The sequence below is a fragment of the Homo sapiens genome, chromosome 19 (assembly GCF_000001405.40).
Source record: "Homo sapiens chromosome 19, GRCh38.p14 Primary Assembly".
NCBI lineage: Eukaryota > Metazoa > Chordata > Mammalia > Primates > Hominidae > Homo > Homo sapiens.
In genome coordinates this window covers 2425518-2450499 of record NC_000019.10, presented here as the reverse complement: position 1 = coordinate 2450499, position 24982 = coordinate 2425518, and the positions used below count along the sequence as shown (strand labels likewise).

The 24982-nt window shown below is 59.8% G+C and overlaps 3 protein-coding genes and 1 non-coding gene across 10 annotated transcripts in view, besides 27 other annotated features; 3 read left to right on the top strand and 1 right to left on the bottom strand.

The window, feature by feature from the left end:
• LMNB2 (lamin B2) overlaps positions 1 to 22334 on the top strand; it is a 28794-nt gene extending 6460 nt beyond the window's left edge. The window contains exons 2-12 of the mRNA NM_032737.4: positions 5960 to 6096; positions 11969 to 12125; positions 12212 to 12337; positions 15329 to 15499; positions 15587 to 15712; positions 15985 to 16205; positions 16395 to 16674; positions 17977 to 18084; positions 18598 to 18717; positions 18842 to 18952; positions 19548 to 22334. Coding sequence (NP_116126.3) covers positions 5960 to 6096; positions 11969 to 12125; positions 12212 to 12337; positions 15329 to 15499; positions 15587 to 15712; positions 15985 to 16205; positions 16395 to 16674; positions 17977 to 18084; positions 18598 to 18717; positions 18842 to 18952; positions 19548 to 19589 — 1599 coding nt within the window. The 3' untranslated portion in view covers positions 19590 to 22334. The remainder of the gene's footprint in view (positions 1 to 5959; positions 6097 to 11968; positions 12126 to 12211; positions 12338 to 15328; positions 15500 to 15586; positions 15713 to 15984; positions 16206 to 16394; positions 16675 to 17976; positions 18085 to 18597; positions 18718 to 18841; positions 18953 to 19547) is intronic.
• Positions 8354 to 8853: an enhancer, noted in NCBI's record as "H3K4me1 hESC enhancer chr19:2441645-2442144 (GRCh37/hg19 assembly coordinates)". NCBI's record gives its function as "activates a minimal SCP1, AML or CMV promoter by ChIP-STARR-seq in naive and primed H9 embryonic stem cells {active_cell/tissue: H9 hESC(naive and primed)}" and the evidence as "EXISTENCE:reporter gene assay evidence [ECO:0000049][PMID:30033119]".
• Positions 8854 to 9355: an enhancer, noted in NCBI's record as "H3K4me1 hESC enhancer chr19:2441143-2441644 (GRCh37/hg19 assembly coordinates)". NCBI's record gives its function as "activates a minimal SCP1, AML or CMV promoter by ChIP-STARR-seq in primed H9 embryonic stem cells {active_cell/tissue: H9 hESC(primed)}" and the evidence as "EXISTENCE:reporter gene assay evidence [ECO:0000049][PMID:30033119]".
• Positions 15500 to 15586, top strand: MIR7108 (microRNA 7108). The gene has a single exon (NR_106958.1). It is a non-coding gene; the product is annotated as a microRNA 7108 (primary transcript).
• Positions 16228 to 16916: an enhancer, noted in NCBI's record as "H3K27ac-H3K4me1 hESC enhancer chr19:2433582-2434270 (GRCh37/hg19 assembly coordinates)". NCBI's record gives its function as "activates a minimal SCP1, AML or CMV promoter by ChIP-STARR-seq in primed H9 embryonic stem cells {active_cell/tissue: H9 hESC(primed)}" and the evidence as "EXISTENCE:reporter gene assay evidence [ECO:0000049][PMID:30033119]".
• Positions 22127 to 23626: a DNaseI hypersensitive site, noted in NCBI's record as "DH1-3; the nucleotide coordinates are approximate for this feature". NCBI's record gives the evidence for it as "EXISTENCE:in vivo cleavage assay evidence [ECO:0001075][PMID:8643660]".
• Positions 22153 to 22672: an origin of replication, noted in NCBI's record as "B48BISSX-B48TERDX amplicon; peak of nascent strand synthesis determined by competitive PCR of labeled nascent strands". NCBI's record gives its function as "inferred origin of bidirectional replication (OBR)" and the evidence as "EXISTENCE:nucleotide analog incorporation evidence [ECO:0001107][PMID:1291239, PMID:1487146, PMID:8041756]".
• Positions 22164 to 22404: a protein binding site, noted in NCBI's record as "241 bp fragment". NCBI's record gives the evidence for it as "EXISTENCE:protein binding evidence [ECO:0000024][PMID:12902329]".
• Positions 22164 to 22404: a protein binding site, noted in NCBI's record as "241 bp fragment". NCBI's record gives the evidence for it as "EXISTENCE:protein binding evidence [ECO:0000024][PMID:12902329]".
• Positions 22183 to 23279: an origin of replication, noted in NCBI's record as "NruI/PvuII pB48 fragment; site of labeled nascent strand synthesis". NCBI's record gives its function as "functions as an origin of replication when moved to ectopic genomic contexts" and the evidence as "EXISTENCE:nucleotide analog incorporation evidence [ECO:0001107][PMID:1291239, PMID:1630457, PMID:8041756, PMID:15024083]".
• Positions 22190 to 22422: a protein binding site. NCBI's record gives the evidence for it as "EXISTENCE:protein binding evidence [ECO:0000024][PMID:23781282]".
• Positions 22190 to 22422: a protein binding site. NCBI's record gives the evidence for it as "EXISTENCE:protein binding evidence [ECO:0000024][PMID:23781282]".
• Positions 22203 to 22304: a protein binding site, noted in NCBI's record as "lbo I footprint". NCBI's record gives the evidence for it as "EXISTENCE:protein binding evidence [ECO:0000024][PMID:12902329, PMID:19690980]".
• Positions 22211 to 22502: a replication regulatory region, noted in NCBI's record as "AT-rich origin protected region (OPR) replaced in eLamB2-mut". NCBI's record gives its function as "important for origin activity in ectopic contexts" and the evidence as "EXISTENCE:nucleotide analog incorporation evidence [ECO:0001107][PMID:15024083, PMID:15121836]".
• Positions 22241 to 22242: a nucleotide cleavage site, noted in NCBI's record as "nucleotide cleavage site; topoisomerase (DNA) I; upper strand". NCBI's record gives the evidence for it as "EXISTENCE:in vivo cleavage assay evidence [ECO:0001075][PMID:17290216]".
• Positions 22265 to 22266: a nucleotide cleavage site, noted in NCBI's record as "nucleotide cleavage site; topoisomerase (DNA) I; upper strand". NCBI's record gives the evidence for it as "EXISTENCE:in vivo cleavage assay evidence [ECO:0001075][PMID:17290216]".
• Positions 22272 to 22345: a protein binding site, noted in NCBI's record as "74 bp probe; contains two binding sites". NCBI's record gives the evidence for it as "EXISTENCE:protein binding evidence [ECO:0000024][PMID:10835276]".
• Positions 22272 to 22345: a protein binding site, noted in NCBI's record as "74 bp probe; contains two binding sites". NCBI's record gives the evidence for it as "EXISTENCE:protein binding evidence [ECO:0000024][PMID:10835276]".
• Position 22281: a replication start site, noted in NCBI's record as "replication start site; identified by primer extension of ligation-mediated PCR of lamba exonuclease protected nascent strands". NCBI's record gives its function as "initiation site of reverse/leftward leading strand synthesis" and the evidence as "EXISTENCE:primer extension assay evidence [ECO:0001819][PMID:10720330]".
• Position 22284: a replication start site, noted in NCBI's record as "replication start site; identified by primer extension of ligation-mediated PCR of lamba exonuclease protected nascent strands". NCBI's record gives its function as "initiation site of forward/rightward leading strand synthesis" and the evidence as "EXISTENCE:primer extension assay evidence [ECO:0001819][PMID:10720330]".
• Positions 22291 to 22292: a nucleotide cleavage site, noted in NCBI's record as "nucleotide cleavage site; topoisomerase (DNA) I; lower strand". NCBI's record gives the evidence for it as "EXISTENCE:in vivo cleavage assay evidence [ECO:0001075][PMID:17290216]".
• Positions 22307 to 22308: a nucleotide cleavage site, noted in NCBI's record as "nucleotide cleavage site; topoisomerase (DNA) I; lower strand". NCBI's record gives the evidence for it as "EXISTENCE:in vivo cleavage assay evidence [ECO:0001075][PMID:17290216]".
• Position 22321: a replication start site, noted in NCBI's record as "replication start site; identified by primer extension of one-way PCR of nascent strands". NCBI's record gives its function as "initiation site of forward/rightward leading strand synthesis" and the evidence as "EXISTENCE:primer extension assay evidence [ECO:0001819][PMID:22983127]".
• Positions 22444 to 22593: an enhancer, noted in NCBI's record as "active region_13685". NCBI's record gives its function as "activates an Ori minimal core promoter by ATAC-STARR-seq in GM12878 lymphoblastoid cells {active_cell/tissue: GM12878}" and the evidence as "EXISTENCE:reporter gene assay evidence [ECO:0000049][PMID:35858748]".
• Positions 22467 to 23279: a replication regulatory region, noted in NCBI's record as "NotI/NruI fragment for CpG island". NCBI's record gives its function as "contributes to origin activity in transgene in ectopic contexts" and the evidence as "EXISTENCE:nucleotide analog incorporation evidence [ECO:0001107][PMID:15024083]".
• Positions 22534 to 22559: a protein binding site, noted in NCBI's record as "E-box". NCBI's record gives its function as "binding in early G1 may promote loading of Mcm4; methylation sensitive" and the evidence as "EXISTENCE:protein binding evidence [ECO:0000024][PMID:22772991]".
• Positions 22678 to 23423: an enhancer, noted in NCBI's record as "NANOG-H3K27ac-H3K4me1 hESC enhancer chr19:2427075-2427820 (GRCh37/hg19 assembly coordinates)". NCBI's record gives its function as "activates a minimal SCP1, AML or CMV promoter by ChIP-STARR-seq in primed H9 embryonic stem cells {active_cell/tissue: H9 hESC(primed)}" and the evidence as "EXISTENCE:reporter gene assay evidence [ECO:0000049][PMID:30033119]".
• On the top strand, positions 22914 to 24875 carry TIMM13 (translocase of inner mitochondrial membrane 13). The gene is made up of 3 exons (NM_012458.4): positions 22914 to 23086; positions 23176 to 23244; positions 23454 to 24875. The coding sequence occupies exons 1-3, from the start codon at positions 22967 to 22969 to the stop codon at positions 23550 to 23552; spliced, it is 288 nt and encodes a 95-aa protein (NP_036590.1). The 5' UTR covers positions 22914 to 22966; the 3' UTR covers positions 23553 to 24875.
• Positions 23144 to 23233: a silencer, noted in NCBI's record as "silent region_9788". NCBI's record gives its function as "represses an Ori minimal core promoter by ATAC-STARR-seq in GM12878 lymphoblastoid cells {active_cell/tissue: GM12878}" and the evidence as "EXISTENCE:reporter gene assay evidence [ECO:0000049][PMID:35858748]".
• Positions 23424 to 24167: an enhancer, noted in NCBI's record as "NANOG-H3K27ac-H3K4me1 hESC enhancer chr19:2426331-2427074 (GRCh37/hg19 assembly coordinates)". NCBI's record gives its function as "activates a minimal SCP1, AML or CMV promoter by ChIP-STARR-seq in naive H9 embryonic stem cells {active_cell/tissue: H9 hESC(naive)}" and the evidence as "EXISTENCE:reporter gene assay evidence [ECO:0000049][PMID:30033119]".
• The window catches only part of TMPRSS9 (transmembrane serine protease 9), a 65997-nt gene continuing 65253 nt past the window's right edge, over positions 24239 to 24982 (bottom strand). For all 7 annotated transcript variants that reach the window (NM_001395513.1, XM_011527978.3, NM_182973.3 and 4 more), the window contains one exon: positions 24239 to 24573. In NM_001395513.1, the coding sequence (NP_001382442.1) occupies positions 24412 to 24573 (162 nt within the window). In that variant the 3' untranslated portion in view covers positions 24239 to 24411. The remainder of the gene's footprint in view (positions 24574 to 24982) is intronic.

Below are 24982 nucleotides of genomic sequence, written 5' to 3'. Positions count from 1 at the left end.
ATCCCAGCACTTTGGAAGGCTGAGGCAGGCTGATCCTCCTGCCTCAGCCTCCCAAAGTTGTAGGACTGCAGCTGTGAGCCACTGCTCCCAGCAACATCCATCATGTATTCAGACTTCCTCAGTTTCCCCGATGTCCTTTCCTGCCCCAAGACCCCATCCACTATCTCACGTGACATTTAGTGACTACGTCACTGTCTCCCAGGCTCCTCCAGGCTGATAGTTTCCCCCACGTTCCTGGTTAGAGGTTCTGGTTGGTCCTGAGCGGGCTGGGCAGGTGTGCAGTAGGATGTTCCTCAATGGGGGTTTGTGTGTTGTTTTGCTCATCGTCACGCTGGGGCGATGGGATGAGTAATGTTTTAATGGAATATATATATATATGTGTATATATATATGTATATGTATATGTATTTTATTTTCTTTTTTTTGAGACGGAGTTTCACTCTGTTGCCCAGGCTGGAGTGCAGTGGCGTGATCTTGGCTCACCACAACCTCCGCCTCCCTGGTTCAAGCGATTCTCCTGCCTCAGCCTCCTGGGTAGCTGGGATTACAGGCATACACCACCATGCCCGGCTAATTCTGTATTTTTAGTAGAGACAGGGTTTCTCCATGTTGGTCAGGCTGGTCTCGAACTCCTGACCTCAGGTGATCCAACTGCCTTGGCCTCCCGAAGTGCTGGGATGACAGGCGTGAGCCACGGCGCCCAGACATATGTATATTTTTTTTGAGACAGGGTCTCTCTGTACCACCCAGGCTGCAGCGTAGTGGCGTGATCTCAGCTCACTGCAACCTCTGCCTCCCGGGTTCAAGTGATTCTCCTGTCTCAGCCTCCCGAGTAGCTGGGATTACAGGCGCCTACCACCACACCCAGCTAATTTGTGTTTTAATAGAGACAGGGTTTCACCATGTTGGCCAGGCTGGTCTCGAACTGCTGACCTCAAGTAATTCGCCCGCCTCAGCCTCCCAAAGTGCTGGGATTTCAGGCATGCACCAGCGCACCGGGCCCTAATGGATTATCTTTTAAAAATCAATTAATTCAAAAAATCTACAATGAACAAACTATTAATTCAAGTCAGGTGTCGTTTAGTGACAGGGATACCTTGTGGAAAGCGTGTCGTTAGGAGACGTGCCCCTTGTGTGGGCATGGTAGAGTGCACTCCCACACTCCCGGATGGTGGAAGCCACCACACACCCAGGCTTGGGCGTGGCCTCCTAGGCCACAGACCCACACCGCCCGCTCCTCTGTGGAATGCTGTGGGCACCGGTTACACAATGGTAAGTATGTGAGCATTTAAACACGAGAAAGGGCTGGGTGCGGTGGCTCCCGCCTATAATCCCAGTACTTTGGGAGGCTGGGGCAGGCAGATTGCTTGAGTCCAGGAGTTTGAGACCAGCCTGGGCAACATAGCAAGACCCCATCTCTTAAAAAAAAAGTTAGAAACTAATTAGGCAGGCATAGTAGTATGTGTGCCTATAGTCCCAGCTATTGGGGCAGCTGAGACAGGAGGATTGCTTGAGCCCAGAGTTTGAGGCTGCAGTGAGCTGTGATTGCGGCATTGCTCTCCAGGCTGGGTGTGGCTCTGTCTCAAAATAAGTAAATAAACACAAGAAAGGTGCAGTAAGAATATGGTATTAGATTCTTTTTCTTTTTATTTTTTGAAGTGGAGTCTGGCTGTCGCCAGGCTGGAGTGCAATGGCCCAATCTTGGCTCACAGCAACCCCTGCCTCCTGGGTTCAAGCAATTTTCCTGCCTCAGCCTCCTGAGTAGCTGGTATTACAGGTGCACGCCACCATGCCCGGCTAATTTTTTTGTATTTTTAGTAGAGACAGGGTTTCACCGTGTTAACAAGGATGGTCTTGATCTCCTAACCTCGTAATCCGCCCACCTCAGCCTCCCAAAGTGCTGGGATGACAGGGGTGAGCCCCCATGCCAGGTTTGCATTAGAGTCTTACAGGACCGCCGTGCACATGGTCTGGGGGTGCTCAGCATGCCTCTGTGCGTGTGGCTGCCATTGCAGAGTTGCTGTTTTTTCTCACCTTGAACGGGCTCCTGTGTGTCCCGGCGCTGATCTTGTCTTTGTTGGAAACTCTGCTGTTTTGTTCATCCTGGCCCCTCTGCCTCGTGAGCCGCAGTCAGCTCTCTCTCTGTGGGGACAGGAGAGCTCGTGTGTGACCCCCATCCTGAGGGTGTCCCGTCAGCCCCTCCCTTGAGGTTAGGGGTATTTGGGAGCTTTGAGGGAGAGGCAGACACCACCATGCCTGCACCTGGTGCCCAGCTGTTTGCAGCGTGGAGCTGGCCGCTTTTTCCTGATTTGGGTTTTTCTAGAAGTCTGTTCCCAGGACACAGATGTGGAGGGCACGGCCCAGATGATCGCCTGCATGGGAGGGAGGGCTTGGGGGTGGCCGGGGTGCCGCGGGAGGAGCTCGCTTTGCACTGCTGCCTCTGTGGGTCCCCGTCCTACAATTGGTCCCCGCAGACCTGATATGTCTAGGACCCAGCGGTGGTCAGGAGGCGGCTTTTTACTGACCCGTGCCTCAGTTTTCCCATACATAAAATCAGGTTGGGAACCCTTATCCCGCCCCACTGTAGGCTGACGGGACTTGGAGCTGCGGTGCTGGGGCAGCCTGAGACTCTGACTTGTCCAGATGGCCCAGCATGCGTTGGTTTGAGGCTGAGGGTCCCACCTCAGAAGAGGCCCGGTCACTGCCAAGGGGTGCGTCCTGGCAGGCCCCCAGCCCTCTGCACAGGAGCCTCGCCTGTAACATGGGGGTGTGGCCCTCCAGATGCAGGCCGACCCTGTACCCACCTTGCATAGACACCCTTGGCCCTGTAGGGCTGTGGGAACATCACGGCGTTCTAGCGGGTGGTGCTGGGCCTGGTTCCGCCTACCATCCTCCGGTCCTCCTTTTCCTCAGCGCCAGAGCCGGAGCAGTTAATTCCCGCCTCATAAGGTTCACCCAGCTCACCCGTAGGTTTCGCGTTTTCATATCTCCACAGCTGTGCCACCACCAATGTGTCCAATTTTAGAACGTTCATCCCCACTAAAAGAAGCCTGTCCCCCTCAGCGGTCACTCCCCGTCCCCTTCTCCAGCCCCGCTGCCCACACACCCGCTGCCTGTGTCTGTGCACTGGCCTGACCTGGACATTTCATGGAAATGGGATTACACACTGTGTGGCGTTTTGTGTCTGGCGTCTCATGAGTGTGACATCCTCAAGGGGCATCCACACTGTGGTGTCAGAACCTTGCTCCGTTACACAGCTGGGTCATGTTCCTGTGTGTGGATGGTGGAGGGACCGCATTGCTTTTATTTTTTTATTTATTTTTATTTTTCATTTTATTTATTTATTTATTTATTTTGAAACTGAGTCTCGCTCTGTCTCCCAGGCTGGAGGGCAGTGGTGCGATCTCGGCTCACTGCAAGTTCCACCTCCCGGGTTCATGCCATTCTCCTGCCTCAGCCTCCCAAGTAGCTGGGACCACAGGCGCCCACCACCACGCCTGGCTAATTTTTTGTATGTTTTTTTAGTAGAGACGGGGTTTCACTGTGTTAGCCAGGATGGTCTCGATCTCCTGACCTTGTGATCCGCCCGCCTCGGCTTCCCAAAGTGCTGGGATTACAGGTGTGAGCCACTGCGCCCGGCACCATGTGTAGTTTTCAAACATGCATGGATGTGAATTTCATGTCTTCTGGGTCCACACCCAGGAGTGGAGTTACCGGGTCACAGGGTGGCTCTGTGACTCTTGGGGGAGCCCCTGGACTGTTTTCTGTAGAGCTGTCTCAGCTCAGGTTCCTGCCGCTGCCTGTGAGGTTCCGATTTCTCTGCGTACTCGCCCGCACCTGCGACTGTCTGTCTTCTTGACGGACGCCCTGGCTGGTGCGAAGTGGCATCTCACTGCGGTTTGCTTCCACATATTTTTAAACTCACTGAGTGCATGGCCCTGTGGGAGGAGGGGAGGCAGGAAGGCCACTAGAAGCCTGAGCTGTGCCCCCAGCTGGCGCGTGCAGAGGCCGGGCAGGTGGCGGCTGTGGTTGCAGCAGGATTAGTAGGAAGTGAAGAGGTCGCCTTCCCTGGCACCGCATGTGCCTCGAGTTCACCTGGAGGCCCTCGAGAGGGGCGGGTTTGGGGGCTTTGCGCGGGGCTTAGGGAGGGGCTTTCTTTAGCTGGGCGGCCCAGAGGGTGTTCCAGTCGCTTCTGCCTGCCCTGGTGACCCCTGGCTCTCCAGCCCCTCCCCATGTCCTTGCTGGCTGGGCTGGGTCTCCGTCGGGAAAGGTGGGGGCCGCTGGTGGGGTGGGGAGCTGGAGACTCTGACTACAGATCCCTGTGATCGAGGGGTGAAAGGTGGGGGTGACTGGTGGGGGGGGCAGCTGGGGACTGACTACAGATCCCTGTGATCGAGGGGTGAAAGGTGGGGGCGGCTGGTGGGGTGGGGAGTTGGGGACTCTGACTACAGATCCCTGTGATTGAGGGGTGAAAGGTGGGGGCAGCTGGTGGGGTGGGGAGTTGGGGACTCTGACTACAGATCCCTGTGATCGACGGGTGAAAGGTGGGGGCGGCTGGTTGGGGGGGGCAGCTGGGGACTGACTACAGATCCCTGTGATCGAGGGGTGAAAGGTGGGGGCGGCTGGTGGGGTGGGGAGTTGGGGACTCTGACTACAGATCGCTGTGATCGAGGGGTGAAAGGTGGGGGCCGCTGGTGGGGTGGGGAGCTGGGGACTCTGACTGCAGATCCCTGTGATCGAGGGGTGAAACGTGGGGGCCGCTGGTGGGGTGGGGAGCTGGGGACTCTGACTGCAGATCCCTGTGATCGAGGGGTGAAAGGTGGGGGCCGCTGGTGGGGTAGGGAGCTGGGGACTCTGACTGCAGATCCCTGTGATCGAGGGGTGAAAGGTGGGGGCCGCTGGTGGGGTGGGGAGTTGGGGACTCTGACTACAGATCCCTGTGATCGAGGGGTGAAAGGTGGGGGCCGCTGGTGGGGTGGGGAGCTGGGGACTCTGACTGCAGATCTCTGTGATTGAGGGGTGGGAGCTTCTGTCCTGGAGCCTCCGAGCCACCACATTGGCAGCTGGCCTGTCGGGGGGACACAGCATGGGAAGGCCAGATGCTCCTCCCTCCATCCCAGGGAACAGCCCAGCCTGAGCCTGGGCCATGTGCCTGCGTGTGAGGTAGGGGCACAGAGGGGCACGGGCTGGCCCCCGGTTGGCAGAAGTGGGGGATCTTGGGCTCAGCGGGGTCTGGGGGAGCGGGGGCTCCAGGTTGCAGAGGCCTGGGGGGAGTCTCAGGGGCCCAGAGGGGTCTGGGAGGGGACTCCAGGTTGCAAAGGCTGGTGGGGGCAGGGGGCTCTCAGGCCCAGTGGGGTCTGGGAGGGCCCCGGGTTGCTGTCATCACCAGTTGTCCGAGAGTGATCAGCCCAGTGTCCATGGTGCCCAGCGGGAGAGATCCTTGATTAAACATCCCACCAGTTTTCTGGTTCTGAAACCGAGAGTGTGAAAAATGCATCTAATGGCCAGGCATCGTGTCGCTATGACAGCGGCCAAGGGGCTGCATGTCCAGGTGTGGCTGGTCCTCCGGGGAAGGGGACAGGCTCCATCCAGCTGCTGTGCTGGTCCAGGCCCAGGGCCTTTGGTCTCCAGCACTGGGCGCCGCTGTTCTGGGAGCTGGAGCTCGTGGAGAGACGATCATTCCAGAGGGGGCCGCAGCAGAGGAGGAGGCTCCTGGGATGGCTGGGACCCAGGGTCGCCTGGCTTCCTCCTGGTTACCGGACCCTCCCCGACAGGGGGCTCCCTTTGCTGTGTCTGTGAGATGGGCAACACAGGGTGTCCCAGTGTCCCCAGGCTGCCATCCTCTCTCTCTGCGTGCCAGTCCCTGGGAATCTGAGCAGGGCCAGTGGCCGGGCCCCCTGACTGCTGTAGTCCAAGGGGAAGGGTCCCTCTCGCTTCACCCTGTCCTGGGTCTCCCCAGGTGAGTGGCATCAAGGCGCTGTACGAGTCGGAGCTGGCCGATGCCCGGAGAGTCCTGGATGAGACGGCTCGAGAGCGTGCCCGGCTGCAGATAGAGATTGGGAAGCTGAGGGCAGAGTTGGACGAGGTCAACAAGAGGTGAGTGGTCACGGCTGGGCACGACGTCACCCTGATCCTGGCACCACGGGGTGGACGGGGGCAGGTGGGCGCTGGGCTCGTGCGGGGCATGCTCTGATACGGGCACAGCCTGGAGCTCACAGCTCCCATCCTCTCTCCCCCACCAGTGGCTGCCACGTCACTTTTTCTGTTCTGAGGAAAGTGATAGATGCTCACATCGGACAGCAGGAAGCGCAGGGCAGCTTAAGCTCACAAGTAAAATCTCCCGCGAGCCTCCCCAGAGAGGGCTTCCTGGTCAGCCTGGCCTGTCTCCTTAGTGTGCACACGCGCTTGCACATGCTTACCTAGACCCCGGGCGGCACCCAGTGGACACCGTGAGACGCGTTTGACCTCAGGCCCCATCGTAGGCATTTCCCTGTGGTTGGATGTTCTTGGTGCCGGGGTTTTGTCCCAGCTGTTGGGACGCTCGGGTGTGTGGTGTGTGACCAGGGTGCTCATGGGTTGTTGGGCTGCCCCAGGGTTGGCTGCAAAGTCCTTCTGGGTGACAACTGTGTCCATCGGCAGAAACGATCTCCCCTCTCAGCCTGGCAGTGAGTCTTGCCTGATTCTGGGCGTGGGATGTGGTTGGGCGGCAATTTAAACAGAACGATGATGACAAAAGGAATATTTATTCAGAGGAGCCAGGAGGCCAATGAAACACTGAGCTCAAGGCTTTTCTTGATGTGAGGCTCCAGCTAGAGCGAGGTCTCTGGTGCCCTGCGTGTGGACACTGTCTTCCGTGGTCTCCGGCCACCGGCATTCAGGCACCTGCAGGTGCCTCGGATTTCCTCAGGCTGGGGTGGGTCAGGGTCTTCCCACACTGCTCATTCTCCCAGAGCCACGCAGGCCTGGCTCAGCATGGAGGGATCTGCTGGCAGGAGGGGTGGCACCTCGGCCACCTGGTACGGGGGTGACAGCAGCCAGTGGCTTGAGAATCCACGTTGTCCCTGAGTTGGAGTGTGGCCAGAGGAATGACCGGGGACCCTGTGTCCAACAGTGCCGGGGCCCCCATGCGTGGTTGCAGGTGACCTCTCCATCCGACGCCCTCCTCCTTCCTGGGCTGGCGCTGCTCCCGTGGAGAGCTGACTTCCCTTCCCCAACAGGAGACCCTCCAGGTCAGCCCAGGGACCACCGCCCGCCTGCCCGGGGCCTGGGGCTCCAGGAGGGACCATTTGTGCCCTGATGGTGGCCATGAGCCGGGGACCCTGGGGCCAGGCACCAGCCAGGACAGGCTGCCCACTCTCAGCACATCCCACACAGCACAGGTGCACCCCGGGACCTGCTCAGGCAGCAGCTCTGTGCTGTCTACCTCCAGCACCCACCGTGTTTAATAAGCAGGTTCATCAGTGGAGCCATGCAGGCTGTGGGATGACTAGAGCTTGGTCAGGGGTGCACGGAGCTCTGAAATGTCAGAACTACACCGTGCAGATGGGACAGAGCTGCTGCTGGCCCCGCACCAGGCGCCTCTCAACTGTTCACTTTAAGATGTTGAAATGTACAGGATGTGAATTTCACCTCAAATTAAAACATTAAAAAAAGAAAATGGTACACAGTGCCCGCCCTAGGTGTTGAGGAATTCCCAGTTCACAATCTCCTGAGCAGTGCGTGGCATCTACAGAGAGGCCCGTCTTTTCCTTTTCATTAAGACAGGGTCTCTGTTGCCTAGGCTGGAGCTCAGTGGCACAATCATAGCTCGCTGCAGCCTCGAACTCCCAGGCTCAGGTGATCCTGCCTCAGCCCCACCCCGAGTAGCTGGGACCCCAGGCATGCACCACTACACCCAACTAATTTTTTTTATTTTTTATTTATTTCCTTTTGAGACATAGTCTTGCTCTGTCACCCAGGCTGGAGTGCAGTGGTGCAATCTCGGCTCACTGCAACATCCACCTCCCAAATTCAAACGATTCTCCTGCCTCAGCCTCCTGAATAGTTGGGATTAGAGGCTCACACCACCTTGCCCAGCTAATTTTTTTACCAAGTTGGCCAGGCTGGTCTCAAACTCCTGGACTTAAGCGATCCACCCGCCTTGGCCTCCCAGAGTGCTGGGATTACAGATGTAAACCACCATGCCTGGCCTAATTTTTTTATTATTTGTAGAGATGAGGTCTCGCTATGTTGCTCAAGCTGGTCTTCAACTCCCAGGCTAAAGTGATCCTCCCACCTCAGCCTCCCAAAGCACTGGGTATAGGTATGAGCCACTGGGCCAAGCCTAATGTTTTTCTTATCCTAACAAATTTATCTCCAAAACCCCACAATGAGAGAAACACTGGGAGCAGCGTGCAGGACCTAACAAGCCAGAGCCTGCCACAAAACCCCGGGCACCCAGCTGAAGATTCTAACTCAGCACCTGGCGCTTAGGAAACGGGTCTGAGCCCTGGGAGCCCGCACCCTGCCTTCTGGGTGTGCCCTGCAGTCCTGCGGAACCCTGTGGTTTAGACCGAGTTGCTGAGGAGCTTCCCGGATTCCCCGATCTCCGCTCCAGTCCTCTGAGCTGGTCTGCAGCCTGCCTCTTCCACCTCACCCCTGGGCCTTTGCACTGCTGCTCGCCTGCCTGGAAGGCTCTTTCAGCAGCGGTGGCCCTGGCTCCTCCAGCACTGCTCCTTCAGGTCTCTGCCCCCAGGGTTGTCTCCCAGCCCCACTCCAGCCCTGCCCCCAGGCAACCTCCTGTCTGGTAGGCAGCCTGTGTCGCTGATGCCTCCCTCCGCAAGGACGTCCCGCAGTGTAAGGCAAGGGTTCTAGATGCACCTCTGGTGTGAGAGCGGTGCCTTCCACACAGCGGGCACTCGGGATTTGCCCAACAGATTCCACCTTCCCCCAAACCCCTGCAAAAATCCCCAGCAGGGCCGCAGGGCTCGCAGCCCTCTGAGCGAAAGGGCCTGGCCTGTGTGGCATGTGCTCAGAGATGCGGGATCTGCACCCCAGACCCTGCTGGAGATCTGCTCCATGTGGGGAAGTAGAGCTTAGTGTCCCTGAGGGCTGCGGACAGGGGTGCATCAGCCTTGTGGCCGAAGTCTCTGGCCTTCACGCCTCTCAAAAGCAAGCAGATGCCACACCTCTAGTGTGTGGAGAGCCCTGGCTACACCAGGTCCAGCGCCAGAGCGGCTGGCCGCCCTGCCCTGGCGGGACACAACCGGAGCCAGACCCGGGATTCAGGGTACCCGGCACGGATGCTTTTACCTGGCAGGTGGCCTTAGACCTGGTTGTCTGACCCCCGACCAGGGACCCCTCACACGAGAGACCTGTTTACACAGTGGCTGCCCCGTAGCTCGTGTCTGACCTGTGTCCAGGGTATGCCTGTCCGACCATCGCTCTGGCACTGGGATCCCAGCCTGGGGCAGCTCCTGGTTCTTCTGACAGAAGGCGCAAATTCAGCACAGCGATAGGAAACAAGTTTGAAGATTTATTACGGATCCTAGGCAGGGAGGGCACTGTGAGCTGGGAAGGCAGCCCTCCCTCCCCGGGTCACACAAGGAAGGAAGGAAGAGTCCCACAGAGAGTGAGAGCTTGGCAGCTAGTGAGAGAGAGAGGGAGATGGGTGGATGATGGATGGATGGCTGGATGGGTGGACGGATGATGGATGGATGAGTAGATGGATGGATGATGGATAGATAATGGATAGATAGATGATGGATGGATGAGTGGATAGATGGATGGATGGATGGATGAGTAGATGGATGAATGGATAGATGATTGAGGGATGGATGGAAGGATGGATGGATGGAGATGATGGATAGATGATGGATGGATGAGTAGATGGATGGATGGATGATGGGTGGATGGATAGATGGACAGATGAGTGGATGGATGGATGGATGATGGGTGGATGGATGGATGGATGATGGGTAGATGGATAGACAGTAATAGATAGAGCAATAGATAGATATAGCTATCTGTAAGGCTGGGTGCGGTGGCTCATGCCTGTAATCCCAGCACTTTGGGAGGCCAAGGCGGACAGATCACTTGAGGATGGGAGTTCAAGACCAGGCTAACCAACATGGAGAAACCCCGTCTCTACTAAAAATACAAAATTATCTGGGCGTGCTGGCACTTGCCTGTAATCTCAGCTACTTGGGAGGCTGAGGGAGGAGAATCGCTTGAACCCGGGAGGTGGAGGTTGCAGTGAACCGAGATCGCACCATTGCACTCCAGCCTGGGCAACAAGAGCGAAACTCCATCTCAAAAAAAAAAAAAAAGATACAGCCATCTGTAGAATTGATATATACGGACATAGATTATATAGATAAATACAGTTATTGATGGAGATATACTTAGACAGACATACGGTCACTTTCAGCTATGGGTCACTTTCATTTCTTGGGCAAATGCCTAGGTGGTCTTTTGAAAGGCCCTGGGGGACCAGGCGCAGTGGTTCACGCCTGTAATCCCAGCACTTTGGAGGCCGAGGCGGGCAGATCACCTGAGGTTGGGAGTTCGAGACCAGCCTGGCCAACATGGAGAAACCCCATCTCTACTAAAAATAAAAAATTAGCGGACGCTGGTGGCGCATGCCTGTAATCCCAGCTACACAGGAGGCTGAGGCAGGAGAATTGTTTGAACCCGGGAGGCGGAGGTTGCAGTGAGCCGAGATCACGCCATTGCAATCCAGCCTGGGCAACAAGAGCGAAACTCCAACTCAAAAAAAAAAAAAGGCTCTAGGGAGAGTCGGGAGTGCATTCTGCTGGGCAGGAGAGGTCCCTGTCACTTCTGACCTCTGGCCACGGGCTCGAGCCGCCTGGATGTGGATGTTCTTTGAATGTCCAGCCAGCAGCCTTGGCTGTGTTATTCCAGATACACCCAGTTGTCCCCATCCTGGGGTGATTCTGTCCCCAGGGGACACTGGGTGATTCCTGGGGACACTTGTGGTTGTCAAAACTGGGCAGCAAGAAGCTCCTGGTCTGAAGTGGGTGGAGGCCAGGGACAGTGCTCAGCACCCTGCAGTGCCTAGGACCACCCCAAATGTCAGCAGTTGTGACGCTGCGGAACCCTGGATGTCCTCACTCGACCACCCCAAATGTCAGCAGTTGTGACGCTGCAGAACCCTGGGTGCCCTCACTCAAGACCACCCCAGATGTCAGCAGTTGTGACGCTGCGGAACCCTGGGTGTCCTCACTGTTTCTTGGGAGGATATAGTTAGTTCCCTGTCGGGAGGGGGTAAAATTCAGCTCCAAGACTTATAATTATGCTTAAAAACATTTAAGAGTCAGCCGTACGCGGTGGCTCGCACCTGTAATCCCAGCACTTTGGGAGGCTGAGACAGGAGGATTCCTTGAGCCCAGGAGTTCGAGACCAGCCTGTGCAAACAAGTGAACCCCTGTCTCTTAAAAAAAAAAAAAAAAAAAAAAAAAAAAAAGCTTAAGTGCCTACAATCCACACTGGTAGTATTTGTGTGTTTAAAAAGCCTGAGTATTTGCTATCTTAAATATCTAATGTTGGAGCTAATTTGGTTTAGTGGAAAACCAGGTGAGCCTGCTTCAGACAGCTTAAGTTTACAAACAAGGCTGACCCTTCAAAGGCCAGGGTCTTTGTAACATTTACAGAGGATGCATTAATTTCTCCCCAAATGGTCGTCCTGGGTCCAGAACAGGCAGGAGAGGCTGGGAAAGCCCATGCCTCCAGGGTGGTCCCAAGCGCTGGTGCCTGTCACTTGCTGGACTCCTGACAGTGCAGGGCAGATGATGAGGGCACGTGTGCCTTTGCCTGGGCGCGTGGGGCCGCGTCGTCTGCAGGACGGGAAGGTCTGGGGCTCGGAGGCCTCGGTGACCTTGTCTTTGGGCTTGCCTGACGCCCCCTGAGGTGCTCCCTGTGGCCCCATGGACCTTGCCCCTCCCCACTCACTTGCCCTCTTGACTTTCAGCGCCAAGAAGAGGGAGGGCGAGCTTACGGTGGCCCAGGGCCGTGTGAAGGACCTGGAGTCCCTGTTCCACCGGAGCGAGGTGGAGCTGGCAGCTGCCCTCAGCGACAAGCGCGGCCTGGAGAGTGACGTGGCTGAGCTGCGGGCCCAGCTGGCCAAGGTAGGTGCCAGGAGCCACGGGACGCCCCAGCAGGGTATATGCAACAGACAGATTGTCACACCAGCTCGCTGTCCTGTGTCTCCCAGGCCGAGGACGGTCATGCAGTGGCCAAAAAGCAGCTGGAGAAGGAGACGCTGATGCGTGTGGACCTGGAGAACCGCTGCCAGAGCCTGCAGGAGGAGCTGGACTTCCGGAAGAGTGTGTTCGAGGAGGTGAGTGAGTGGCCTGGCCTCCAGCCTGGCACAGCGGAAACGCAAAGTCCACCCTCATGGCTGTGGAGGGCGGAAGCCTGAGGGCACCGTGTGGCCGGGGTCCCTCCCACGGCTCTAGGGAGGCTCCTTCCTGCCTCTTAGGGTGCCCTTGGCTTCGGCTGCGTCTCCCCAGTGTCTGCCTCTGTCTTCCCGCGGCTGCCTCCCCTGTGTCCATACTCTGTGTATCCTACAAGGACACTTGTCATTGGATTTGGGGCCTGCCTGGATCATCCAGAGTGACCTAATGGCATCTGCAGAGACCCCATTTCCAAATAAGGTCCATTCACAGCTGCTGGGGATCGGGATGTGGGCACGTCTTTTTTTGAGATGGAGTTTCACTCTGTCACCCATGCTGGAGTGCGGTGGCACGATCTTGGCTCACTGCAACCTCCGCCTCCCAGGTTCAAGCAATTCTCCTGCCTCAGCCTCCCGAGTAGCTGGATTATAGGCGTGCACCACCATGCCCAGGTAATTTATGTATTTTTAGTAGAGACGAGGTTTCACCACGTTGGCCAGGCTGGTCTCGAACTCCTGACCTCAGGTGCTTCATCCGCCTCGGCCTCCCAAACTGCTGGGATTCCAGGCGTGAGTCACCATGCCCAGCCAAAACATATCTCTTCAGTGTCAAGGAAGGTCTATTTTGATTTCTTGCCTTTCTAAAAGCTTGGTGTTCCCACCCTGAGAGCTGAACCCTGGCCGCCTGGGATCCTAACTGCTAGACCATGAGGCAGGCGTCAGGTGCATCTTCTGGGTGCCACCGTCCAGCCTCCCACAGGGCCTCCTTGTCCAAAGCGAGGGTGAGGCCCGCTCTCCCCACCCAGCCTCCTTCCCTGACCTGCAGCCCCTCACCTGGGGCCTCTGCCTCCGGGGGCTCGGAGAGGGGAGTGGGGAGGAAAGGCGTCAGCCTGTGTCCTTTAGAACCAATTGTGCTGTCACAGTGCAGGGTGGAATGCCGGGGCCGGCCGGGCCCACACTCCCTGCCCAGGGAGAGCTGCTGGCTGCTGGTGGAGGGATGTCCAGGCCGCTCAGGAGCTGCGCCCCGCTCTGGCCAGGCCCAGGGAGTGGGGGGGGCCCCACAGGAGCCAGAGGGGAGGCCGCCAGGGCAGTTGTGAAGGGGCCTGTGGGGAAACCTGTGAGACAGCCCGTGAAGAGACTCACGAGAGCTTCTGTGCGGGGGCCCAGGAACGTGCCCCAGGTGGAACCCACAGGGCACCTGGGAAAAGACCCACGAAGGCGGTGCAGGGGCCGGGAAGAGGCCCTGGAGGGGCCCTCACAGGGAGCTGCGGTAGGGAGCTTGATGATGCAGGCCTGTGCAGCCCACAGGGTGCGGAGTCCTGGAGAGGGCGGCCGTGGGGGCGGAAGGGCGGCCGTGGAGGTGGGTGCGCGGCTGTGGTGGCGGGAGGGCGGCCGTGGAGGTGGGTGCGCGGCCGTGGTGGCGGGAGGGTGGCCGTGGAGGCGAGAGGGCGGCCGTGGAGGTGGGTGCGCGGCTGTGGGGGTGGGAGGGCGGCAGTGCAGGTGGGTGAGCGGCCGTGGAGGTGGGTGCGCAGCCGTGAAGGCGGGAGGGCGGCTGTGCAGGCGGGTGCGCGGCCGTGGAGGCGGGAGGGCGGCCGTGGAGGTGGGTGCGCGGCCCGCAGGGCTCTGCTTGCCTGGGCTACCCGCCTTGCTGACTGCAAAGGTGGCCAGCTTCCTTCAGAAGCGTTTCTACTGTTTTTGTTTTGTTTTGTTTTGTTTTGTTTTGTTTTTGAGATGGAGTCTTGCTCTGTTGCCCACACTGGGCCCAGCCTCCCGAGTAGCTGGGATTATAGGTGCACAGCACCACACCCAGCTAATTTTTTTCTTTTGAGACGGAGTCTTGCTCTGTCACCCAGGCTGGAGTACGGTGGCATGATCTCAGCTCACTGCAACCTCCGCCTCCTGGGTTCAAGCGATTCTCCTGCCTCAGCCTCCTGAGTAGCTGGGATTATAGGCGGGTGCCACCAACCCGACTAATTTTTGTATTTTTAGTACAGACGGGGTTTTCACCATGTTTGTCAGGCTGGTCTTGAACTTCTGACCTCATGATCCACCTGTCTTAGCCTCCCAAAGTGCTGGGATTACAGGCTTGAGCCACTGTGCCCGGCCTAATTTTTGTATTTTTAATAGAGATGGGGTTTCACCATGTTGGCTAGGCTGGTCTCGAACTCCTGACCTCGTGATCTGCCTGCCTCAGCCTCCCAAAGTGCTGGGATTACAGGCATGAGCCACCACGCCTGGCCCGCTTTCTTCAATAATGGCTTTTATAAGAGAGAGTCACTTTTTTTTTTTTTGAGACGCAGTCTCACTTTGTTACCCAGGTTGGAGTGCAATGGTGCGATCCTGGCTCACTGCAACCTCCCAAGGTCAAGCGATTCTCTTGTCTCAGCCTCCTGAGTAGCTGGGACCACAGGTGCCCGCCACCACACCTGGCTATTTTAAGTCCACCTTTTTAAAGTGTACAGTTCAGCATTGGCAGGATCTCCACAGGGTTGTGCAACCACCACCTCTAATTCTAGAACATTCCATCACCCAAAAAGAACCCCCTCCCCATCAGCAGTCCCCAGCCCTGGCCCCCACGCATCCCCTCCCTGTCTCTGTGGATGGGCCTGTCCTGGACATTTCAGGACATTTCATGGAAATGGGATCACGCACCGTGTGGCCTTTTGTGTCTGGCGTCTCTCATTGAGTGTGACGTCCTCAAGGTGCATCCATGCTGTGGCGGTGTCAGAGCCTCGCTCCTTTTCGTGGCTGAGTCACGTTCTAGCGCGTGGACGGCCCCTGGGTCGCCTCTCACCTGCACGTGTATCGGTTTGTAACTTGTGCACAAGGAACCAGGAATTGCCTGGAGGTTCCTCTTGGCACATTTTTGAGCCCTCCCTTGGGCCTGGTGCTTGGGGCCCAGGCGGGACCAGAGGGTCACGAAGCCTTGGTCCGCAGGAGGTGCGGGAGACGCGGCGGCGGCACGAGCGGCGCCTGGTGGAGGTGGACAGCAGCCGGCAGCAGGAGTACGACTTCAAGATGGCACAGGCGCTGGAGGAGCTGCGGAGCCAGCACGACGAGCAAGTGCGGCTCTACAAGCTGGAGCTGGAGCAGACCTACCAGGCCAAGGTGTGGCCGGCAGGCGGGTGGGCGGGGGCGGCCGGTGGGAACCCCGCCCCGCCCCGCGCCCGCACTCACCCGCCCGTCTCCCCACAGCTGGACAGCGCCAAGCTGAGCTCTGACCAGAACGACAAGGCGGCCAGTGCGGCTCGCGAGGAGCTGAAGGAGGCCCGCATGCGCCTGGAGTCCCTCAGCTACCAGCTCTCCGGCCTCCAGAAGCAGGTGATGAGCACAGCGCCACCGTCTGCCGTCCCCCTGGCCCAACTTCTGGGCCCTGCCCTGGATGTGCGGGGCGTGGGGCTCTGGCCTCTTGGCATCGGATGCAGCCCTCGGGGCGCCCAGCGATGCCCCTTCCCTCCCCTCCCGTGCGCCCCATGCCCAGGCCTGGTCTCTGCCCCAGTCTGTGGTGAGGGCCCATCTCCCGCAGTCCCAGGATCACCTGGGCCTTGTGACCCATGGGCTGCCCTGACCTTCGCCACCCGCCCCCTCCGCAGGCCAGTGCCGCTGAAGATCGCATTCGGGAGCTGGAGGAGGCCATGGCCGGGGAGCGGGACAAGTTCCGGAAGATGCTGGACGCCAAGGAGCAGGAGATGACGGAGATGCGGGACGTGATGCAGCAGCAGCTGGCCGAGTACCAGGAGCTGCTGGACGTGAAGCTGGCCCTGGACATGGAGATCAACGCCTACCGGAAGCTCCTGGAGGGCGAGGAGGAGAGGTGCGGCAGGCCAGGAGGCTTGGGAGCACAGAGTGAGGAGGAGGGGCAGGGCAGGAGGAGAGGCGGGACGGGGCTGCGGGGAGTGCTGGGCAGGGGTGGAGGTGGGGCCGGGCCGTGGCCGCCACTCTGCGTGCCCTGGGCTGTCTGGGGCTCCCACTACCAGTCCCACCTTCCTTGCCTTCCCCACAGGCTGAAGCTGTCCCCCAGCCCATCCTCGCGCGTCACCGTCTCACGAGCCACCTCGAGCAGCAGCGGCAGCTTGTCCGCCACCGGGCGCCTGGGCCGCAGTAAGCGGAAGCGGCTGGAGGTGGAGGAGCCCTTGGGCAGCGGCCCAAGCGTCCTGGGCACGGGCACGGGTGGCAGCGGTGGCTTCCACCTGGCCCAGCAGGCCTCGGCCTCGGGTAGCGTCAGCATCGAGGAGATCGACCTGGAGGGCAAGTTTGTGCAGCTCAAGAACAACTCGGACAAGGTGACCGGAAAGACCGGGGCATGGGGGTAACGGGGTGACCCAGCTGATGGGGGTGACCAGGGTCAGGGTGACGGGGCTGCCGGCCAATGCGAGGCAGGGGACAAGGTGACCGGAATGACCGGGGCATGGGGGTAACGGGGTGACCCAGCTGATGGGGGTGATCAGGGTCAGGGTGACGGGGCCGCCGGCCAATACGAGGCAGGGGACAAGGTGACCGGAATGACCGGGGCATGGGGGTAACGGGGTGACCCAGCTGATGGGGGTGACCAGGGTCAGGGTGACGGGGCCGTCGGCCAATGCGAGGCAGGGGACAAGGTGACCGGAATGACCGGGGCATGGGGGTAACGGGGTGACCCAGCTGATGGGGGTGACCAGGGTCAGGGTGACGGGGCTGTCGGCCAATGCGAGGCAGGGGACAAGGTGACCGGAATGACTGGGGCATGGGGGTAACGGGGTGACCCAGCTGATGGGGGTGATCAGGGTCAGGGTGACGGGGCCGCCGGCCAATACGAGGCAGGGGACAAGGTGACCGGAATGACCGGGGCATGGGGGTAACGGGGTGACCCAGCTGATGGGGGTGATCAGGGTCAGGGTGACGGGGCCGCCGGCCAATACGAGGCAGGGGACAAGGTGACCGGAAAGACCGGGGCATGGGGGTAACGGGGTGACCCAGCTGATGGGGGTGACCAGGATCAGGGTGACGGGGCCGCCGGCCAATGCGAGGCAGGGGACAAGGTGACTGGAATGACCGGGGCATGGGGGTAACGGGGTGACCCAGCTGATGGGGGTGATCAGGGTCAGGGTGACGGGGCCGCCGGCCAATGCGAGGCAGGGGACAAGGTGACCGGAAAGACCGGGGCATGGGGGTAACGGGGTGACCCAGCTGATGGGGTGACCAGGGTCAGGGTGACGGGGCCGCCGGCCAATGCGAGGCAGGGGACAAGGTGACCGGAAAGACCGGGGCATGGGGGTAACGGGGTGACCCAGCTGATGGGGTGACCAGGGTCAGGGTGACGGGGCTGCCGGCCAATGCGAGGCAGGGGACAAGATGACTGGAAAGACCGGGGCACAGGGGTAATGGAGTGACCTAGCTGATGGGGGTGACCAGGGTCAGGGTGACAGGGCCGCCGGTCAGGACGAGGCAGGGGACAAGGTGACTGGAATGACCAGGGCATGGGGGTAATGGGGTGACCTAGCTGGTGGGGGTGACCAGGGTCAGGGTGATGGGGCCACCAGCCAGGGCGATGGGGGCGGTGTCACAGTCCTGGTGGCTGAGGGTCAGGTGTGTGCCGTGTCTTCCAGGATCAGTCTCTGGGGAACTGGAGAATCAAGAGGCAGGTCTTGGAGGGGGAGGAGATCGCCTACAAGTTCACGCCCAAGTACATCCTGCGCGCCGGCCAGATGGTCACGGTAGGTGGTGGGGCAGGAGGGCGAGGGTGGCCACGGATGGGGTGTGAGGTGGGGTCAGGGGACTGGAGGCACAGGACTTGGCGGGGGTGGGTGGGGATGATGGTGGCACCAGGCACCGTCTCAGAGCGGCTGCCGCAGTCATAGAACCTCCATGTGCTGGTGTCACCCCACTGGGCCTCCCTGGAGCCTGAGTGGTGTGCCCTGGGTCTGAGTCCAGGCTGCTGGGGCTGGCAGGCGTCCCCGTGAAGTGTTAACAGTCAGGCGCATGGGCCATGGAGCCTGGTGGGTGTCAGATCCCAGTTCAGCCCCTGCTTGCCAAGAGCCCTTGGCCTCTGTGAACCCTGGTCTCTTCTTGTGTATCCTGGGGACCATCACCCTGGATAAGCCTGCGTCGGGCTGGAAGGACTGAACGCCCAGGGCATTGAAGGGGGCTTTGTGGTAGGGGCCACTGGCTGGCCCACGTCCCTGGAACCAGAGGTGACCCTGATGGGGCCATTGTTATTGGGTCCTCAGGTGTGGGCAGCTGGTGCGGGGGTGGCCCACAGCCCCCCCTCGACGCTGGTGTGGAAGGGCCAGAGCAGCTGGGGCACGGGCGAGAGCTTCCGCACCGTCCTGGTTAACGCGGATGGCGAGGTGGGTGTGTGTGGCTTGGGGGGTGCTCGGCTGGAGTCCTGGGCAGGGTCTGGGCACCCTCGGGGCCGCCACAGCAGCTCTGGGCCCGATCCCGGGACATGCCGCCGTGTCCTGTCCCGCACAGGAAGTGGCCATGAGGACTGTGAAGAAGTCCTCGGTGATGCGTGAGAATGAGAATGGGGAGGAAGAGGAGGAGGAAGCCGAGTTTGGCGAGGAGGATCTTTTCCACCAACAGGTAGGACCCCTGTGCCCACTTGCGGCTGGGGGGCAGCCTCTGGGGCAGAGTGAGCTCGTGCACACACATACACATGCGTGCTGGCCGCATCCCCGACGGGAGCTCCATCTGGCTGCCGTGGCTCAGGGTGAAGCCAGCCTTGGCTGTTACCAGCACGGCAGAGACCTGTTCTTGCCTCCTGGGTCGTGCCCATCGTGTGAATTTGCGACATCACAGACCTCAGGGTAGCTGGCCAGGGGGTCCCCTGAGAGGTGGGTGTTGAACAGCTCCCCAAATGCTCTCTGGTCAACCGGCTTCCTCAGTCGAAGACACAGGTCCCTTCAATACTGGCTTCTGGGGAGAAGATGAGTGCAGAAACCACAGCTGCATTAAACGCGTGCGTCGCAAGTTCCTGTGACTGTTTTGGAACCCAGAACAGAATGTGTAGCTCACAGGCGGGCTCATGGGGACATGGAAGTGGAATGGAAGGCTCTAGAAATAGACACTGTTGTTGCTCAGCCCCTCCCTGGTGGGGAGGTGGGGGCAGCCATCTACCTGCCGGCTGCCTCCAGGCTGGCCCTGATCATGGCCGACCTTCCTTCCTTCCTTCCTGCAGGGGGACCCGAGGACCACCTCAAGAGGCTGCTACGTGATGTGAACCCACACTCCTCATCCACACACCTTTCTTTACCCAGAGCCACTGAAAACTATTTTTATATCATTGGCTTTCTTTAGTTCTTGATACATTTCTAGAGAATTTCTAAGCGAACTGCCAGAACGTGTGGGTGGGTCTCCCCCAGCCCTCCCTCCTGGCGGGTCTCCTCCAGCCTCACTTCGCTGCCACTTCGCCGCTGCCCCGGAGACTTTTCAATCCCACCCCACTCCTCATCTCACCATTTGGTCAAATTGGAAGCCCAGGGCCAGGACCCGGAGGTTTAGAAGATGCTTGGGCTTGGAGGGAGGAGGGCCGGCGAGGCTAGCGAGGGGACAGGAGACGGCCCTGCTGCGGACGGAGCGCGGAAACTGCGTAGGAATTCAGTGGTGGTGGGTTTTTTTAAGGCTTTCTACAAAACCAAATTCAGAATCCAGGCGTCGACCTGGTGGGGCCCGGGGCCAAGCCTGCATTCTGGCTGCCCAGCTTCGGACAGCGGGAACTCCTCAGGCAGCCACGCAGCGGGTGTGGGCCAGCATGGGGATGGCGTGGCCCCCAGGGCGGGTTTTCACTCCGCTGCCTGGGCTTCCAGATTCCCGTTCTGGCAGCGCACCGGCCGGGTTTCTCGGACCGTTGACTTTATTTGGGGGAGTTTTCCCGCAGTTCAGTTCCTGACTGTGCAAGGCCAACAGGGCAGGGGAGGGGAAGACCTGGGGAAGGAAGAATGAGGACAGTCCCGTCGTAAGACCTGTCACAACAATAAGCAGGGAGGGGAGATGTGGAGGGGACACATCTGGTTGCCTTGGAGGCAGAAGCTGTGAGTTTCAGAACAGCTGTCTGCAGGGAACGCCACCATGTTGACCCTCTGGAGGAGAGCGCTGTGGAGCCCCTCCCGTGTTCCAGCTCCGTCTGCCCTGTGCCTATATATACACATGCGTCTATCCATACTGTGCTTTTATCTGTGATTTTCTCGCTGAAACCATGTTTCTCAGACAGGCCAAGGCCACCTGACTCCTATCACGACGCACCCAAGCCCCTCAGTCCAGCTTCCCAATGCCTGGCACCCCCCTTCGGCAATAGCTCACCGTTTACACCCTCCCTCATAGATACACAGAAGTTATTTTTTTAATGGATATTTATTTTTTTACATTGGTCAGTACACAGGTCAGGAGCTCACGCCAGGGCCTTGAGGACAGGCTGACCCTCCTCCCCGGGGTGGCGTGGGGCTGGGGCACCCTCCGACGGCAGAGCCTCCTTCAGAAAGTGCAGCTCAAGTCTTAAAGACACCAAAACTGAGCCATGGGCACGCGCCGTCTCCGGGCCATGGCGTTCACTGCAGGGCGGGGGCGGCACCGCTCCCCTGTGACTGCATCCCGCCTCCCTGGGGACCTGCCTGTGGCAGGAAGGAATGGGGGGCCCCAGCCCCAGGCCGGGAAGGAGCCAGCGGCCGACAAAGCAGAAACACCCGCTGCTCCACGTAGCCCCTGCTCGCTGTCCTTGCTCTCAGAAGTCCCGGTCCCATGTAGATAGAGGGGGGCGCATCTTACCAAAGCATTTCCTCCTGGAGGCTACGCCGCTGTGCTCCCAGTCAGGCGGCTGGTAGGGAGCTTTGCCTGCCCCGGGGATACCCTCTGCCAGCCGCTGGAAGTGGGAATGCTGGCGACAGACTGTGTCCTCTTTCCCACCTTCATAGCAGGAATCACCCGGACCCGACTGGCTGGGCTTCGTGCTAGCGAGGGTTCTGGGGGTGGGTCTTGGTGATCTTGTCCTATGGGGAGTCTGCAGTGGTCTCAGCCACATCCTATGTATTTTGGCTCTGGAGGAGCAAAGCTGTATCCTGGAGTTGGTCTGTGATTTGCCGACAGCCTTGCAGGCTGGGCTCAGGGACAAAGTCCCCCCCAAAACCCGCAGGTCCTCATGTCCAGACGCTGCCCAGTCCTGTCCTGAAAACAGCACGCCCCAGGCCCACAGAACCCCCCACCCTACATTTGCCTTGGGTGGAGCTGGGGGTGGTCCTAGGACTGCGGGTGCCCTTAGCTGAAGGGGGTGGGGAGAAGCGTGGACTGGGCAGCCTGTGGGTAATTGGAGGTTCATTGAGAATTGAGTCTTTGGAAACACTAAGAAAATCAAATTTTTAAAAGTTATTTATGGCCTGGGAAACAATTTGCATTTGTCCCCAAATACGCTTAGCTGTGTGCCGCTTAGAACGATGCGAAACCATCCCTCTGTGTAAGCCCGTGCCGTGTGACTCGAAGCCTAGCGCCCTCCCTGCGAAGCATCAGACGCCACCCAGCCCTGGGGGGAGGCCCACGCCTGCTGGACCAACGCGGGTTCTGGGGTGCACAGCGCCAGGTTAACGCTGAAGCCTGCCCCGCTGAGCCCAGGAGCCGGGAGGCCTGCGGGCTGACCCAGAATCCGATCATGCACCTGTCCTCATGCCAGCGGCTTTGGCTGGGGTTGGTCTGAAGCCTGCACGCGGCAGTTCTTTGTTAAAGATCTGAGGGACTCCTCAGTCCTGGGGCGTCGCCGCCTGCAGCCTCTTCCAAGCCCTGCGTCCAGCGAGCGTCACAGCACAACCTGCAAAAACGGAGCTGGGCTGCAGCTGGGGCTGGCATGGACTTTCATTTCAGAGATTCGGTTTTTAAGAAGATGCATGCCTAATGTGTTCTTTTTTTTTTCCAATGATTTGTAATATACATTTTATGACTGGAAACTTTTTTGTACAACACTCCAATAAACATTTTGATTTTAGGTTCTGCCTCTGAGTTTATTCCTGAGGGGAAGCTCGAGCCGGGGCCTCTGCCCTAATGAAGCGGATGTCTAAGAAAGATCCCTCCACCCCCAAGGAAAAAGGTCACTGGCTAGTGTAGCTAGTGTAAACAGGACCCAGGCGATGCATGGGACCCTGCCCTTTTTTTTCTAGTGAGCCTCCGACGCTGTTGCACAAGCTGACTCTTCGTCACGTGATGCGACCGGGCTCCGCCCCGGCGGCAACACGCTGTATAGACGCGCCGGGTGCCTCGTGCGCATGCGCGGCAGGCCCTTCGGGACGAGCTGGAGGCAGAGCGTGAGTACAAAGTGATCGGCCTCGGCCGCACGTAGTAGCCCCCCTACTCCCCGGCCAAGTCAGGGCCTCCCTCTTCCCGCGGAGTCGCAACCACGGGTAGCTCGTGTAGGTAACGGCAGGTCCAGGCCTCCGCATGAGCGGAGGGCCCCCCGCGCGACCTTGAATGGCCCGGGCGCGCGCGGTCGTGTGGGAGTTGTAGTCCTCCGTCCCCGTCCGCGCGGACTCCGTTTCCCGTGGTGCCCCGGGCGGCCCGCTTCCGGCGCAGTTAGTTACGAGTCGGCGCACGCGGCCTCGGTCCGGTTGACTTTGCGGAGCCATGGAGGGCGGCTTCGGCTCCGATTTCGGGGGCTCCGGCAGCGGGAAGCTGGACCCAGGGCTCATAATGGAGCAGGTGAAAGTGCAGATCGCCGTGGCCAACGCGCAGGAGCTGCTGCAGGTGCGGGGCTGGCCGGGGACGGGCGCTGGGGGCGACAGGGCCACCCCTGGGGGCCGACGTCGCGGCTAAAGCCTCGCGTGTCTCCACAGAGGATGACGGACAAGTGTTTCCGGAAGTGTATAGGGAAACCTGGGGGCTCCCTGGACAACTCCGAGCAGGTGAGACCCGCGGAGGTTCGGGGCAAGGGTCGCGAGGGCCTAGATTCGAGGGGGGAGGTGTCTGCGCGTGCGCAGACTAACGGGGAGGTGCGACGGAGTGGTCACTGCACGTGCGTAGTCTGCAGCCCGGGCGTCCTGGAGCCGGGGTCAGGGCGGTCCCCGGGGCCGCGAAGTCCCGAGCTGAGCCGTGCGCCCCTCCGCTCCCGCAGAAGTGCATCGCCATGTGCATGGACCGCTACATGGACGCCTGGAACACCGTGTCTCGCGCCTACAACTCGCGGCTGCAGCGGGAACGAGCCAACATGTGACCGGCGAGCGCGGGCCACCCCACCCTGTTCATTTCCATAAACGTGCTTTGAGAGGCGGGGTCCGCATGTACGTACTGCCTGCCCGGGGCTTAGGAGGGTGGCACCGGTGCTGGGACACACGGGACTGTGTCCTCGCCACCCCCCGCCCTGCCCCCTGCCAGCCAGTGCAGCTTGGATCTCGGGGGTGTGGGGCCCTGTGCCTTCCTGAAGTGCTGGCAGCCCAGTGGCACCTCCTTCAGGCCTTTGGGGTATTCCCCTAGTGTGCCCAAGTCAGCCTCATATTCTGGGCGGACAGCTTGTCTGGACTTCGGAGTTGGGGGTGGTCAGACACCACAGGAGCTGTCACCTCCTGCGGATGGGCAAATAAATTGGTGGAGGACGGAGAGAAACCTCTTTATTTCCCTCCTGAGGGGTCTCTGGGAAGAGGTGACGCGTGTCCCTGGAACCCCAGCTCGGAGGGTCTCAGCCTCCCCTGGGTTGGGAGAAGTCCATCTTTCCCCTTAGTGCCACCGGGCTGCTGAGTCACGAGGAATGTGTTGCTGCTGCCACCCCTGCCCCAAAGGCTAAGGGGGACAGCCTTCCCCTTGTCAGGGCTTGCTTTGACCCTGCTTCGTTCCACCCCGGGTCCTGGTGGAGCACCAGGCAGGTGGTCCTCGCTGTGACACTGAGGTGCTGAGCCAGTGAGCTAGGGTGGAGGGGCTGTGTTTATTGGAACAAAGGGTGGTACCAAAATGCATCCCCATGACCCACAGCCCCCCCACACCCGTCCTTGGGTAGGGTACGGTGGGGTGGGGTGTTGGGTGGCCTGCTGCTCCTGTTGCTTTCACGTAGAGTCTCGGCCTGGGCAGTCACGTGGTGGTCACTCCTGGATGTGCTGTCCTATCCAGCCTCTCACAGCTGCCACCCGGGTATAGACACCTGGGAAGTGGGGCCGGCCACAGCCATAGCCCCAGCTAGTGACCCCAGTTAGCACCCACCGTCCAGAGGGCTCCCTGCAGGCCAGGGGTCCCCCAGCGTCACCCTGTTGGGGAGAGAAGAAAGGGGGTTCAGAGGCCGGTACCTCCCCTACAGCAGCCCTTGGGTCATTGGCCCCTCTAGGAGTGACCCTAGTGACTTCCCCTGGGAGCCGCATTTTCACTATCTGGAAAATGGGCTCAATGCAAAGGTGGCAGACATTTATGGACACCCGCCACGTGGTCCCGGAGTGGAACGGTGCCTCCCACTGCAGCCTCTGCCTGCTCTGCCGCCGAGGCCCGGGGATGGGATGCGGTGGGTTGCCCAATAAACGGCTGTGGAGTGGAAATTCCTCCAGAGCCAAAAAGGCTCCCTGCTTGATCCGCTGGAGAAGCCTGCACCGGAGGGTGGCTCCCGGATGGTGGGCTTCGTGGCAGCGGGAACCCGCCCTCCCCGGCGGCTGGGCGGGACCTGGT

Bases quoted from the DNA above. Each gene is read 5' to 3' on its own strand.
- TIMM13 (NM_012458.4), top strand. From the start codon at position 22,967: ATGGAGGGCGGCTTCGGCTCCGATTTCGGGGGCTCCGGCAGCGGGAAG. The intron at 23,087-23,175 runs GTGCGGGGCTGG...GTGTCTCCACAG, and splicing joins ACGCGCAGGAGCTGCTGCAG to AGGATGACGGACAAGTGTTT. The intron at 23,245-23,453 runs GTGAGACCCGCG...CCGCTCCCGCAG, and splicing joins CCCTGGACAACTCCGAGCAG to AAGTGCATCGCCATGTGCAT.